This window comes from Homo sapiens, chromosome 3, assembly GCF_000001405.40.
Source record: "Homo sapiens chromosome 3, GRCh38.p14 Primary Assembly".
Classification (NCBI taxonomy): Eukaryota; Metazoa; Chordata; class Mammalia; order Primates; family Hominidae; genus Homo; species Homo sapiens.
Window position 1 is genome coordinate 50,505,802 of NC_000003.12, and position 14,794 is coordinate 50,520,595.

General features: G+C 54.4%; 2 annotated features.

Annotated features, from left to right (window-relative positions):
* Nucleotides 6,029-6,974: an enhancer, noted in NCBI's record as "H3K4me1 hESC enhancer chr3:50549261-50550206 (GRCh37/hg19 assembly coordinates)". NCBI's record gives its function as "activates a minimal SCP1, AML or CMV promoter by ChIP-STARR-seq in naive H9 embryonic stem cells {active_cell/tissue: H9 hESC(naive)}" and the evidence as "EXISTENCE:reporter gene assay evidence [ECO:0000049][PMID:30033119]".
* Nucleotides 9,819-10,457: an enhancer, noted in NCBI's record as "H3K27ac-H3K4me1 hESC enhancer chr3:50553051-50553689 (GRCh37/hg19 assembly coordinates)". NCBI's record gives its function as "activates a minimal SCP1, AML or CMV promoter by ChIP-STARR-seq in primed H9 embryonic stem cells {active_cell/tissue: H9 hESC(primed)}" and the evidence as "EXISTENCE:reporter gene assay evidence [ECO:0000049][PMID:30033119]".

Here is a 14,794-nt window from a genome sequence, read left to right on the forward strand (position 1 = left end):
TGGCTGGCTACAGCCACACGTTAAGATCTTGGGAGAAAAATTTGAGCCTTCCCAAGGAATAGGGGGACTTCCATGGCAGGCACATTGGTAAATGTGGGGCTGCCCACCTGGCCCAAGTTGCCTGTGCTGGAAGACGTAGGGTGGCAGGGGCAGGTGAAGCTACCCTGACAGGGGGCCTGGTAGGTGCCAGTTCTGCATGGGAGGTCAGCTCAGCAGGTCAGAAGAGACTGATAGAGCCATAGGGAGAAACTACTATGTGCCAAGCAGGCCATGGGCTCAGTTGTGCCACTCGAGGCCCGTCCCAAGCCCCAGCTCCCGGGGTTTGCACAGCCTCTATTTAGATTCTTCCAGAGCCAGGAAGGTCATCTCTGCACACCCTAGTCCTTTCTGTCCTGGAGGCCCCTGGCTCTTCCCTGCTGTGGGGAGAATACTGGGGCTGGTGTCAACCTTGACTCCACAGCTTGTGGCCCTTTCAGAGGAAGCCCATCAGGAACATCCAGGACGCCTGTGGTGGCAAGATTTTCACCCTAGCCTGCCCCGCGCCCAGTCTCACCTTTTACCAACAGGCTGGACAGCTCCTTATTCAGAGAAAACTCCTGCCTCGGGCTTTACTCCTGCAGTTCCTCCTGCCTGGAACACCCTCTTTTACCTCTACCATTTGAACTCAAGATATTTATGAGCCCATTAATACCACTTATACCAGGAAGCCTTCCTGGGGTACTACCACCCCCAACTGGATGGGCCTCCTCCTCTTGGTCCTGTCCCTCCTGCTTCCTGCCCCGGCCAGTAGTATGCTGTGGCCTCTGCCTTGGGTTCAGAAACACACCTGCACTCTGGCCTCTTTTTTTTGAGACAGTGTCTCACTCTGTCGCCAGGCTGAAGTGCAATGGCATGATCTCGGCTCACTGCAACCTCCAACTCCCTGGTTCAAGTGATTCTCCTGCCTCAGCCTCCTCAGTAACTGGGATTACAGGCACGTGCCACCGCACCCAGCTAATTTTTGTATTTTCAGTAGAGACGGGGTTTCGCCATCTTGGCCAAGATGGTCTTGAACTCCTGACTTCATGATCCGCCCGCCTTGGCCTCCCAAAGTGCTGGGATTACAGGCATGAGCCACCACGCCCAGCCCATTCTGGACTCTTGTCGAGCGGAGCCCTGAGGCTCCCTAGTCCTTGTCACCCCTTCCAAGCCTCATGCAGTGCTTAGCCATGGGAGGGCACAGGAAGTATTAACATATAGAGTCATTTGGGGCCAGGCATGGTGGCTCATGCCTGTAATCCCTAGCATTATGGGAAGCCGAGGTGGGTGGATCACCTGAGGTCAGGAGTTCAAGAGCAGCCTGGCCAACATAACGAAACTCCATCTCTACCAAAAATACAAAAAAAAAAAAAAAAAATTAGCCAGCTGTGGTGGCCGGCGCCTGTAGTCCCAGCTGCTCAGGAGGCTGAGGCATGAGAATCGCTTGAACTTGGGAGATGGAGGTTACCATGAGCCGAGATCGCACCATTGCACTCCAGCCTGGGTGACAGAGCAAGACTTTGTCTCAAAACAAACAAACAAAAACAAAGAATCATTTGATGGCATGTCAAGGGAGCCCAGGGATGTGCCCAGGAAGGGTGGTCTGGCCTGGGCATGAGGTGTGTCAGCTTTGACATCAGACATCACAGGTTGTGTAAGCAAGTGATTTTGCCTCTGCAAGCCCATTTCTTCATCCATATAGTGGGAGACACCCCCATGTGGCAGGGATGGTCTGAAGACCCAAAGCATCTAACACCCTGAGGGAAGACTTGGTACTTCAGCAAGGGCTTAGCGAAGGGGAGACAACAGACTCAGCCATCCCCAAGAAGGGCAGGCCGTGTATGCAGGCAGACAGGGAAATATTCCTGGAAAAGGGGGAGGGATTTCAGCTCAGTCTTGCAAGTTGAATAGGTTGGGATGGGCACATTAGGGAGAGGAGGAGGGGACATTCTTTTGGGTGAGCATGACTTGAGCCAACATTTTCCCTTCTGAGCCCTGTTTACCCAGCTCTGCCTCCACCTGGGTCCGTTGAGCTGGCCCCAGCCTTGGCCAGTGTTCTGCTGTCCCTGCCTCATCCAGCCCACTCTAAGGTACCTATTCTCTGCCTGCTTTGTGCTGGACTTGTTGGTCCCCAAGGGCCCCCAGCTGGGATTCATTCCACGTATGGGGGACTACCAGCACTTGCACCTGCCAGTGGCTGCCATGGCTCGCTCATCAGTTCCTTGGGGATACCCAGGGATGCAATGTTCCCCAAAATGCCCCTGTCTGAGCATGGTACAGATGCTCAGTGGCCTCCAGATGCAATCAGACAGGACCCTACCTCTGGACACGTCAATAATTTTTCAAGGATCCTTGGCGCAATATCAACCGATGGTCAGTTTAGTACCATTTACCATAATATATGGAGGGGGCTGGAGTTTAACCCTTTCAGACATTGCAAGCTGTCACTACCTGCACATTAAAGTTAGGGCCAAGTCCCAGGTCATAAACAGTCAGAACCTATAGGACCTCCTCATTAGAAAGAGGGGAAACTGAGGCCCAGAAAAGGGAGGAGACTTGCCTGAGGCTGCCTGCCCAGTGGTTAGTGCAGATCAGAGTGTGGAGCTTTGAGTCTGGACACCTGGGTCAGCATCCCAGATCTGTCTCCCTATGACCAAGGATGAGACCAGTCTCAGAGACCCCAAACCATGGGTCTTGATGTCCCCATCCTGGCCTCTGAAGGGAAGCCCATAAACCAGCATTGGGCCATGGAAAAATCATGCCTCCCTGTACGGCAGTGGAAGCCCCCTGGTTAGACCTCCATCATCCCAAGAGTCTCTGAACTGAGATTATTTGACTGAGCAAGGGAGGATGCTGGTTAATTGAGCAGGTTCTGGCAAGTATAAGAGGCTTGATCCTTGGCCCCTGGGAGCTCCCCACTTGGTGGGGGAATGTGATACACAGGAAAAACATGGTGAGTACCTCAAACCACACATAATTACATCATGTCGGTGAAAAAAAGCAAGTGGTCCCTCAGTGTTCTGAGGAGGCCCAGGTGATCAGGGAAGGCTTCCTGGACAAGGGGACCTTGAAGCTGGCACAGAAGGGTATGAAGGGCTTGGACAAATGAATGGCTGGAGGTGGGAAAAAAGAGTGTCCCTGGCAGAGGGTCTGAGCAAAGGCCTGAGACAGAAGTGAGCTGGCCCTCTTCCCTGGGGGCAGGCACAGCTCCCCTGGGGGGTGCATGCCTGAGTAAGTGAGCTCCTGGCAGAGGCAGGGAGAGAGGTGGTGTAGCCTCACAGGCAGCATGGGGCAAGGCTCAGCTGGGCAGTGACAGGACAGGACAGCCTGCTCACCCCTGCATCCGGGACTCCAGGACCCTGGGTGGCTTTGTCCTTAGAGAAGGAGGAGAAACAAGTTGATCATTGGTTGTGTGAGCACAGGGAAGCTCGGCCTCACCTTCACTGCCTCAGCTACCCTCACAAAACTCAGGTCCTCCCAGCTTCAATAGGATGGAGATGGGCGCAACTGCTCAGCTAGAGGGTCTGCTCCCACCAGGAGCCCCTGCCTCAGCTGTCCCCATTGCCACTGGCAGCTGCTCCAGACAGTCTGGAGTTTTCTTCAGAGAGGTCGGGATCAACCTGCTCATTTTATAGATGAAGAAACTGAGGCCCATGGAGGGGCAGGGCTGGTCTCAAGCTTCCAGTAAGCAAAGAGACAAAGGCTCCAGGCTAAGGTCTAAGTTCCGTCCTCTGTACCTGCTCCCAGCCACTGGGGTCCTCAGAACCCTCAGAACCCTCTTTGAGAGGACCCTGGCCCAAACATCTGCCCAGGGGAGTAGGAGGCCCCTTGGTGCCACCCATGTCCCACGTGCCTTGATGTGTGTAGTGCAAGGGCCCAGAGCTGGTTTGCCCCTCCCCTAAGGCCTTCATCCCACTCTGGCAGCAGAAAATGAGGACAAATAAAAGAGAGAAATTCTCCCTTCAGAAGAGCATTAGGTGTCTGAATGGTTTCCGAATAAATAAAAGTCTCCTCAGAGCCCCTGGCCAGCACTGACAGCAGCTCTAACTCTCCACAAGATGTGTTTTTCTGCCTCTAGGTGGAAGTGAAGAGTGTCGGTGGTAGGCTAAGCCGGGCTGTGATGAGGCAGCCTTCCATCTCTGCCCAACATCCCATCAACACCTCGGCGGAATGGCCATGGCAAATTGTCTCCTCTGATAGCTGCCCTTCCAGGCCAGTCAGAGAAGGGTGAGAAGTGGGCCCAGCCTCCCCCACCAAGGGGGTTGGGGGAGAGCTTCCTGGGCAGTTCCCTTCCCTGCCCATGGTTGGGATCCGGTTGTCAGTAATTCTGAAGACAACTGTCCCTAACTTACTTGCTCATTTTGCAACTGAGAAAACTGAGACACAGAGGATTTTGGCGACTTGCTGAATGAAACGAGAGGGCCTGGGATGCATCTCATGAATAAGCCAGCTCTGCCCACTGTGTTAGGAGTGAGGGGTCTGCTTCCTCAGAGGAGGCTCTCTGAGGGCAGGGCCATACCTCATGCCATCCACCTTCCTGTTGGTAACAACAGAAGGCACTTGAGTGACTGCCCTAAGTGTAGATGGATGTGAAATGGCAGGAGAGATCAAGGCTGTAGACCCAAGGAAGTATTTTCTTCAGCACACAGGTCGGGGAAGCACCCTGAGGAGAGTCCTCAAGTCTTCTGCTTCTGCAAAAAGCACCTCTTGGCTTCTGCTCATCAACTCCTTAGGGAATTAGCCTCTGCTAGGCAGCTGTGGGGAGGGCAGGACCTGGCTCTACCGTCACTTAATTTAACTGATGGCTGCTGTTCCTGTGAGGGGCAGTTAGCACTCCATTTGTTGAACCTGGAAGATGGATGAAGCTAGGTGGTTCTTGGAACCTACAGGGGAGGATGGCACTGTATGGGGTGGAGGCAGGGCCAGGAGGAGCATCATGTCATGGGAGTCTGGAGGGCTTGAGAGGCAGCCCTGCTGCATTTGGTGAGGCGCCTGCCTCCTTGGGGTGGTGCTGGCACTCAGGCCCCTCCACCTGAGTTTCTTGGACACCGGGCAGGGAGGGGAAGGGATGCTCTCAACCTTATAACCAATCCAGCTTTCCTATTAGCACAGGTGTAGATCTCTCCACCCCAGCATCATGGCCCCATCTGCAGTCTTCATTGCTCTCCCTAAAGCTGGGGCCTTTGAGACCTCTGCCTGTTTCCAGGCCTGAGGTGAGCTAGGGTGGGGGAGCAGAGAGCAAGGAGGCATGGGGCTCCTCACCAGCTGGTTGGAGTAACCTAAGGATGTAGATGCTGGAAGAGCCCCTCTCAGTCTGGATCTATTGCCCCAGAAGCCAGGCTGCCAGCCTTGAACATACTCCAAATGGAGGAGGGCATTTTCCAGCCCAGGCCTCCATGAAACCTTCAATGCTGCTGACCCAAGGGGGAATGGGTAAGCCCCTGCTGCAGAAGGTCATTCTGGATTGGAGGCTACTCTGCTGCCTCGGAGGCACAGTCAAGAGTTGGGCCCAGGCAGGGCTGGGAGTTCTCGCTCTTCAGGCCACACAAAGGGCAAAGTGAGCAGGGCTGTCCCTCCCCAAGCTTGGTGGAAACACTCCTGTCTCTCTTCTGCTAGCATGAAGTAGTACCTAGTTAAGCAAATATAAGGAGCATCTGCTCAGGAGGGAGGATGCAGGCCATGTCGTATGGCAGGAAATGGGGACAGGGATGGGAGTTGCGGGGGATAGACAGGACAGGGGCTGGCCTGGGACCATTGCCCCCAGGTGGGCTAGCTGAGGGAGGGGCATCATTGCCCCCAAAGGTGTGGGGTGGGGAAAGGGAGGCTATCCAGGGTACAAGTCCAGAAATGACTATGGCTTGTCGGGATTCTGGGTCCCGTTCCACCTGGGCCCTGAGTATGGGCAGATAGGAAACATCCTGGCCACTCTGGAGATGACTGAGCCACAGAATCCCTTTCAAAGGAAAGCAGGATCTCTGTGGACCCCTTACTGCATTCCATAGTTGGGCAAACTGAGCCTCAGAGGTTTGGGGTAGGCCCAAAGTTACCCAGTAAGCAGTAGAGACCAGGTCCCAGGTCCCCCTGGGTCCTTGCTTGGGGCCATCCATGGCCTTGTCTGATGGTTAGAGCTGGCCCATGTTCCCATCTTGGGTGTCTGTTTTCCACTTGCTGATAAGGAGCTTATACTGAGGTCGGCAGAGCAAGGCAGGTGCCAGGACAAATGCAGAGAGCAGAGGGCTCCTCGGTGGCCTAGACAGACCCTAGAGATCTGGGAGCCCCCAAGGCAGAACTAAACCCTCTCTCCTCCCAGAGAGTTTTGCTGGGCTCCAGGCCCCAGAAGGGGTGCTTGGGAGGCTGTACCTGCACAGGCTAGTGAGAGTCCAGAAGAGAGTGAGGAGGCTCCTACCTACTTATGTTCCCACCAGCTGGAAGCCCCTCCCCTCCCCCTGCCATGGCCTTGCTGAGCCCTGCTTGGCAGCTCCAAAGCACCATCTTGCTGAGGTCTTAATTTCCAAATGAGTGAGGAGGAGCTTCAGGGAGGCAGAGGCGGGGGGAAGGCTCACTGAGAGAGACCTCAGGGAGGATCGCCATGTGGACTCAGCAGTTTGCAACAAGCCACCAAGGTCTTACCTGAAAATCTAAGCTGGCTGCTGTGGGGTGGCTGGGAGCAGGCCATGGACAGGAAAGACTGGCAGTGAGTCAGGCGTGGGGCAAGAGTGGAAGGTAGAACCCAAACACCAGGGCAACGGGTATGCCAGGCATGCTCACCCCTCAGAGTGTAGGGCATTATCAAGTGTTGATGAATGAATAAATGACTATGTAATCATATGTCACCTCCATCACGCTGAGGCCTGGGGTCAGGCCTGGCATGTGTGACCCCTGCCAGTCCTGCAGGTCAGATCCCTGGGAATAAGATGAACGCTGGCTGGGCACAGTGGCTCACACCTATAATCCCAGCACTTTGGGAGGCTGAGGCGGGCGGATCACCTGAGGTCGGGAGTTTGAGACCAGCCTGACCAACACAGAGAAACCCCGTCTCTACTAAAAATACAAAATTAGCCGGGCTTGGTAGTGCATGTCTGTAATCCCAGCTACTCAAGAGGCTGAGGCAGGAGAATCGCTTGAACCCGGGAGGCAGAGGTTGTGGTGAGCCGAGATTGCGCCATTGCACTCCAGCCTGGGCAACAAGAGTGAAACTCTGTCTCAAACAAACAAACAAAAAAAAGTTGAACCCTGCCTTCAGAACTCCATGTAACCTCCTCCCAGGCTGCCCTGCTGTTCCCTGCCAGCCACATCTCTCTGATTAGATTCAGAGCTCCCTGTAAGCCCCAGGCACTCAGTGGTCCCCTCTCCCAACAAACGCACACGCACTACTGCTGTTCTCCTGGACGTGCCAGGGTAGCTGCTGCCCATTCAGGCTGGTCTGGCTGTCGCATAGAAAGCTGGACAGCTCTAGGGTCTTCTTACCCCAGGCTCTGCTCACCCCTCAAGCCCCTAAGCCTGTTCTTGGCACAGGCTTGGGACCACAGGGACCACACTGTGACCTCACTGAGTCTTGCTGCGGTACCCATAAGTAGGCCCCGAGGGGCTAGACCCCAGGCTGGAGTGCCCCTGTTCCTAACCTCCCCTGGGGACTATATGTTCACTGTACAGATGAAAAGGGCTTGCCCCAGGTCACTGGGGCTTGTGATTTTCAAGTAAGAATTCCTGATGTTTCCTCCAGAATAATAACCCCCATCACCACTGCCTCCTCTTCAACCCCTTCATCCCCACTTCCTACCAGGCACTGGGCCAGAAGGATGTCTAATTCTCAAAACAGCTTTCCAGGTAGGTAGCATTAGCCCCATTGCCCCATTGGGCAGATGAAGAAACTGATGCTCCAGTAGTTCTGAGTGGCTTGCTTAAGGCTGGCTGGGAAGCAGCAAAGATGGGCTCCAACTCCCGATCCAGCTCCTCCTGGGTTGATTCATGAGGAGCATATTGTAATCTTTTTTTTAAGTAAGCCCATTTTATCTCAATATGCAAAACTATGCACATGGAATGCAAATTATTAGAAAAGCTCCCAGGGTGACAGTGCAGCCTTTGGGTTTCACCAATGATCCAACAATTCGGCGGCCTCTCTCTCACTTTAGCTGAGCCTCTCTACTCTGCCTCCCCACCAAGGTATCTCTGGGGAGGGCTTTGCAGGAGAGAGTTGAAGATTTGTTGACACACGGCCAGTGAGGTGAGCAGCCTCAGACCCCATGAATGAGGCAAGGGTCCTATGCCCAGCCCCCTTCCTGCCTCCCCTGCCCCTTATTGGACTCCTTGAGGCTTAGAGTTGAACATCTGCACTTTGGTGTGCATGAGGACAGGGGCTGCTTTCTGCTGCCAGAATATGGGAAGGCTTTCTGGAGGTGGAGTAGAGAAGGACATTCCAGATGAAGGGAACATTGGAGAACTAGTAAAAGGTGTTGAGGTAGGATCTGCTCCAGGGAAAGCCAGTGAAGCATTGAAGGTCTGCTCTGTTTCGAGGAATGAGGCTTCTCCATGATGAAAGAGCCCTTTCCATCAGAGCAGGCAGGACAGGAGGCTGGGAGGCGGGTGACCAGGCTAGATCCAAGCTGCGGCCACAAATCATGGGAGAAATGTCCCATGAGCACAGGGTGGAAAGGACAGTCATCCAGCACCTTGGCCTGATTCACGGCTAGAGAGGCAGCAGACATCCACCGGGCCCAGGTAACCTTGAGCTTGTTAGCTAACGTCACTGCATCTCAGTCTTCTTGAAGGTAAAATGGGTTCAGTAAACTCCACTCCTCATCTTCCTCTCAGAGCTGCTGGGAGGCCACTGGGGGCTTCACCCATTGCTGAATCATAAAGCATTTATGGAAAGGCTGTACTCGTGGTGTCCTCCAGACCTGCAGAGGGAGGCAGGGCAGGAATGCCACCACCACCCCTACACACACACACTCCCCGGTGTCTGGCACATGCCAAACACCCCCACTCAGCCAGCTAGGAACAGAGCCCCAAGCCAAGGTTAGGGCCAGGCTCAGGGTCCATTTCAGTGATAGGTCAGCAAGGAGGGCAGCACGTGGAGGCCTCCCTGCCTGTTTCTGAGGTGCACAGGGAAAGTGGCGTGGCCTGCGGTGAGCAATGGTGGAAGCAGAGTCTCAGAGAGAGAGACTCCAAGACAGACAAACAGAAAGGGCCCAGAGGTGGGTGGCTGAGCTCAGTATGGAATCTTACCTTCTGTTAGAAAGGCCCCGAGAGGGTCTGGTAAATTGATCAGACAGGGGCAGCTTCCAGGCAGGGAGGGGATCCATGGAAGCTGGGTCTACCCATTCCAGGACACTGCATTTCAAACTGATTTTAAAGCAACAAGGAATTATTTTTAAACTAAATTGGATGCAGATCCCTAATATATGCCAGATTGAAGTAGAGTTGTTGTGATGGAGGGTGGTCAGGGGGTTGAGAGGCTCCCAGGACAGAATCAGGGTGCATGCCCTGCACTGGAGGTGGTACAGGTGCTGGGCAGAGGCTTCTGCCCCTGACACGGTCTGGACTGTGGTTTCCACTCTCCTAGGATCACCTTGTGAAAAGCCTTTTACAGCCGTGGGCTTCATGTTCTCATCTGCAGAACGGGAGCTCTTGGTACCCCGGCCCAGCTTGCCCCTCAGTTGCCAGAACAACTGTGGGGGCAGAGAGCCCTCTCTCTCAGGCTGCCCCACTTCATGGAGAGGGGGGCAGGTATTTATTCATCCTCCCTAAGAACTGAGGTCTTGGCGAACTCATCTGCCTCCCAGCTCAGCTAATTGGAATCAGTTCCCCATTTCTCCTCTGCCTCTCAGTAAATTATGCGAATTCCCCCAGTCAGAGGCCTGGGTGATGGACAGCCCTGTCACAGCAGCCTAAGTGTTTAGAGAGCAATTGTTCTGGGGAAGGCTGCCATTCCTCAAGCGTGTGCTGTGCGGGGGGCCACGAGGAGAGCCAGCCCGGCCCTGCTGCTGCCCCTGTCCCTGCCCCTGTCCTTGCTCCTCTGCCCGCCCCTTTCCCCACCGCTGCCCCTGCCCAGCCACCAGAGCCTGCTCCGCCCAGCCAGCCAAGCATGGGCTTCCGGTACGTTATCCTTGTCATAACAATCAGAGCAGCCGAGAGGTATTGCTCTTAAACCCTCAACACACATTTTTATAACCTTTCTGTTTAATAAGAAAGAGACAGCTCCAATTAGCTGGGAATATTCTGCCGAAATGGGATTATTTTAAAAGCTCTGGCAATATTACAAAATAGCTTCAGTAAGTGAACAGCTGTTGCCGGGCCCCGCCTGCCCTGCGCACTGCGCCTCCCGCACCCTCCCATCAGGGCCGGGCCCCTTGCCCCTCCCCAGGGGCTTCAGAGTCCCTGAGAACTGTGCTCTGGCCAGCAGCCAGGGGCCCCTCTTCAGGCAGCAGGATGTAAGTTGTGGGTGTGGAGCACAGAGTCTCCATGGCCCGGACTGGAGGGGAGGGACAGTTCACACCGTGCCCTGAGGCTGGACTATGGCCTTGCTGGGGTCCTGCTTGTCCCAGAAAAAGTCATGTGGGGACCCCAGCGTCATCTCTAAAGGGCCTGCAGCCTGCTCTGCTGCCCCTGTAGCCTGGACATGTTCCCTACTTTTAGCAGGACTCCCGTCTGCTGCCCAGGCCTTCGCAGGCTCTCTGGCTCTCCAGTCAGGGGGGCAGGGCAGGGCTGCTTGTGAATCCATTTCTCCAGATTGTGAGTTCTGAGTCCACTCCCCAGGCCCACCCCTGGGCCAGGTAAGGATGCTACCTAAGGGGTCCCTCCCTCTCCTTCTTGGGGCCAATGCTCATTTCCTCTTTGGCTCCTCTTCCACTCTCCGCAGGGCCCTCTGCATTCCTTCTCTCCAGGAGGGGCTGTCTTTGTTTCCTTGCCCATTGCAGCTGGTAGTGTTATCAGTAACTGTGTCTAAGTCCCCAGGGCTGAGGGGCAGGGGCCTGGAAGTCCTGGCCTTCCCCCTTTTCCCATGCCTGCTGGCAAAGCTCTGCAGAAAGGAGGCCTCCGCTCCCACCTCCTAAAGCCCTGGGGCTGGATCTTACCCACAGACTCAGCATTGGCAGCTGCTTCACCTGGGCCATCTGAGGCAGCAGACTGATGCCAGCTCCTCCAGGAGCCAGCTCAGCCTCTGTGGGGAAAGCTGGGGCTGGGGCCTTGTAGGAGGCCCTGGGTCTTTTTTGGCCTGCTGCTTCTTGCCCACTCTGTCCACTTGCCACTTGGCCCACAGCTGTGGTGCCCCCATGGTGCTGGGTCCCCCAGAAGGCTCAGGCTGAAGAGTTGATGATGTTTGAACAACTTTCAGGGAAGGATACAGTTGAAAAGGACCTCAGAGTCTGGCCCATGGAACAGGTCACTGTATAGTTGGGGAAACTAAATCCAAGTGAGAGGAAGCTCTGAGGCTATATTCTAAGACAGGATGGGAAGCAGGACTCAAGCTGTCGGCTTCAGCCCTGGTGTTTGACCCTTGTTGGCCCTGGCACTGGTAATGATGGGATTTGAACTCTCGGCCCTGGTGTGGTGGAACTGAATGAGCCCTGCCTCAGCTGCACAGGTGACCAAAGGCAACTCCCTTCCCTCTCTGAGGCAGGAGTGGGTGAGGCCCTGCTCTGGGGCTGAGGGGGTGCAGATGGGACTCTGGGTCAGGCTGCTGGACAGGGAGATCCCTGTGGGTACTGTGTGGCAGAGCCAGGGCAAGGACTGGGCCAACGGGGGTGCATTGGGGTGCCCAGATACTCCACTCATTCATCCTGCCAAGTCCCCTCCAGGCCTGGCTGGAAAATATGGGGATTCAAGGTCTCCCTTGATGCTGCCAGGAAGAAAACCTCACGGACAAGGGAACAGCTGCTGTGGCCCCAGCCTCACCAGGCCTAGGTCTTAGGGACCCTGCCTGGGGAATGGGAACAATTTTGGGACATCCTTGGGAGGAGATCACAGCCTGGGAACTGCAGCATGATGCAAATGCACCATGTGCTAAATGGGGAAAAATGAATTTTACACCCAGACAAAGTGACTTTTATCATGTTAACGACCATGGTTTGCTCATCGTGTCTGGCGCAGTGAAATGGGGCCTGTGGATGTTTTTCTTTTAGTTCTGCTTTTAAATGGAAGCATTTTCCCCCTCAGAGCAGACAAGCCAAGCCCTTCAGATTGGGATGACAGAAGTGCTGATTCAGCAAAAACAAAACAGAGGATTTTTTTTTTTTTTTTTTTTTTTTAATCTTCATCTGTGCCTTCCAGCAAAAATAGAGCTCAGAATGAGGAGGTGGGGTGTGGCGTGAGGAGCCCCAGCCAGGAGACAAGATTGTGGCCCTGGCCCAGCTCATCCTGGTGTGGCCTGGGACCTACCTCACCCATTCCCAACCTCAGTTTGCCCATCAGTATCAGGAGTGAGACGGGCTGGAGGCAGAGGCTTTTAGGATCAGAGAGCTGCTCCGGCCTGGCGCTTGACTAGATGTCCATGTCAAACACATCGTACTGGGTATGTCTGGGTCTGGAACTGCCTCCTCTCTCAGACTGGGACTCCCAGGGGGCAAGGCAGGGTGGAATCATTGCTGAATCCATGGTGCCCTCAGCGGCCAGTGCAAGGTCCCTCATGGAAGGGGCAGAGATTTTTGCTGATGGAGCCAAGGCTACTTCCACGACATCTATAAGGAGCATCCAAGGGTGGACTCCGTTGGCCACGTCCCTGAGCACCCCACCCCCAACAGACTGCACCCGGCGCACATCACTGGCACATGGCAACTCCATATTGTGCTCATCAAGTTTCAGGAAAACACCATCTGATGCCTTGTATAGTTGCCCAGCACAACACCCAGCTTCCCAGAAGGAGCCTGCATTGTGCACAGTGAGGGGCTGCTCATCTAAGGCTAATGAAGAGGACATGAGGCTGGCATATCTGGAAAAGCCCTGCCCTGATGCCATGCGGTACTGCTCTGGAAGGCTCGCCCAGGTCAGGCAGACAGGGCAGAGATCAGTGGACAATTAGCCAGCTCCAGCAGAGGTAATTAATCAATGTTTGGGGCCTTCCATCTGGGAATGCTGTGATCACTGCCGTGCCTGTGCCCTGGTGGAAGTCAGGACCTGGGCTAGGCTGACAGGCAGGGACTCAATTGCTGTCAGCACCCTCACTGCCAGCACAAACACCATCACCAACACTGCCTCCAGCAGTTCAGTGCTGCTGTCCCCATCATGGTCACATTGCTGTCACCCTTATAGTAGCAGCGACTCCCTCACCCTGCCCTGCCCCACTGGGACTCACTATCACCATCCCCATCCACAGTCACCTGTGCTCACTCTTCCCCGACTCAAGACACTTTTACACTGTTCCCACAGTCCCAAAAGATATACAGGCAGCTTAGTGGTAGGGAGACCAAGGCACAGAGAGAGAAAGGGCCATGCCATCTAAACAAGAGAGAGAAGCCAGCCCCCTGGCATATAGACTATGGTCGCTTCCATCCCTCCCCTCCCCTGTTCCAATACCAGCTGCTCACAGCGAAGATCCTTCCTCCTCGTACCAGTCAGGATGGGCTCAGTTAGGTTGCAATGACAACAACCCTAAAATCTTACTGGTTTAAAATAATGAAGATTTATCTCTTTTTCCTGCTCCCTGCTCTTCATGGGTCAGCTGAGGCTCTGTTCTGTGTCATTCTCATACTGAGCCCCGGCTGGCCAGATAGCCAAATTCTGGAAAACTGACTGTTGTCATGGTGGAGGGAGATCCGGCCCCTAAAAGGTCTCACACCAGCAATTAAAAGCCCTGTCCTGAAAGTGCTGCCTCTGCTCACCACTCATCGCCGGAACCAGGCACGCACCCCTGCATGACCACCAGGGGGCAGGAAGGTGCAATCCTACCTTTAGCCAGGAAGCAAGGGGATCAGGTGGATTTGGCACCCACCAACAGTGGAGATCCGATTTCTCTTCCTCTCCCTGCCTTCACTCCTTGCCCCACCTATCCATGTCCTCCAGCCCCCTGGTCCAGCAGGATTGTGAGGGTTCAGGTGGGGCTTCCTCAGTCTTCCTGGGATCACAGGCTGTGCTTCCTGTGTGGGGAAAAGCAAGAGAGATCAGATTGTCACTGTGTCTGTGTAGAAAGAAGTAGACATAGGAGACTCCATTTTGTTATGTACTAAGAAAAATTCTTCTGCCTTGAGATTCTGTGACCTTACCCCCAACCCCGTGCTCTCTGAAACATGTGTTGTCAACTCAGAGTTGAATGGATTAAGGGCAGTGCAAGATGTGCTTTGTTAAACAGATGCTTGAAGGCAGCATGCTCCTTAAGAGTCATCACCACTCCCTAATCTCAAGTACCCAGGGACACAAAAACTGCGGAAGGCCGCAGGGACCTCTGCCTAGGAAAGCCAGGTATTGTCCCAGGTTTCTCCCCATGTGATAGTCTGAAATATGGCCTCGTGGGAAGGGAAAGACCTGACTGTCCCCCAGCCCGACACCCGTAAAGGGTCTGTGCTGAGGAGGATTAGTAAAAGAGGAAGGAATGCCTCTTGCAGTTGAGACAAGAGGAAGGCATCTGTCTCCTGCCTGTCCCTGGGCAATGGAATGTCTCGGTATAAAACCCGATTGTATGCTCCATCTACTGAGATAGGGAAAAACCGCCTTAGGGCTGGAGGTGGGACCTGCGGGCAGCAATACTGCTTTGTAAAGCATTGAGATGTTTATGTTATGCATATCTAAAAGCACAGCACTTAATCCTTTACATTGTCTATGATGCAAAGACCTTTGTTCACGTGTT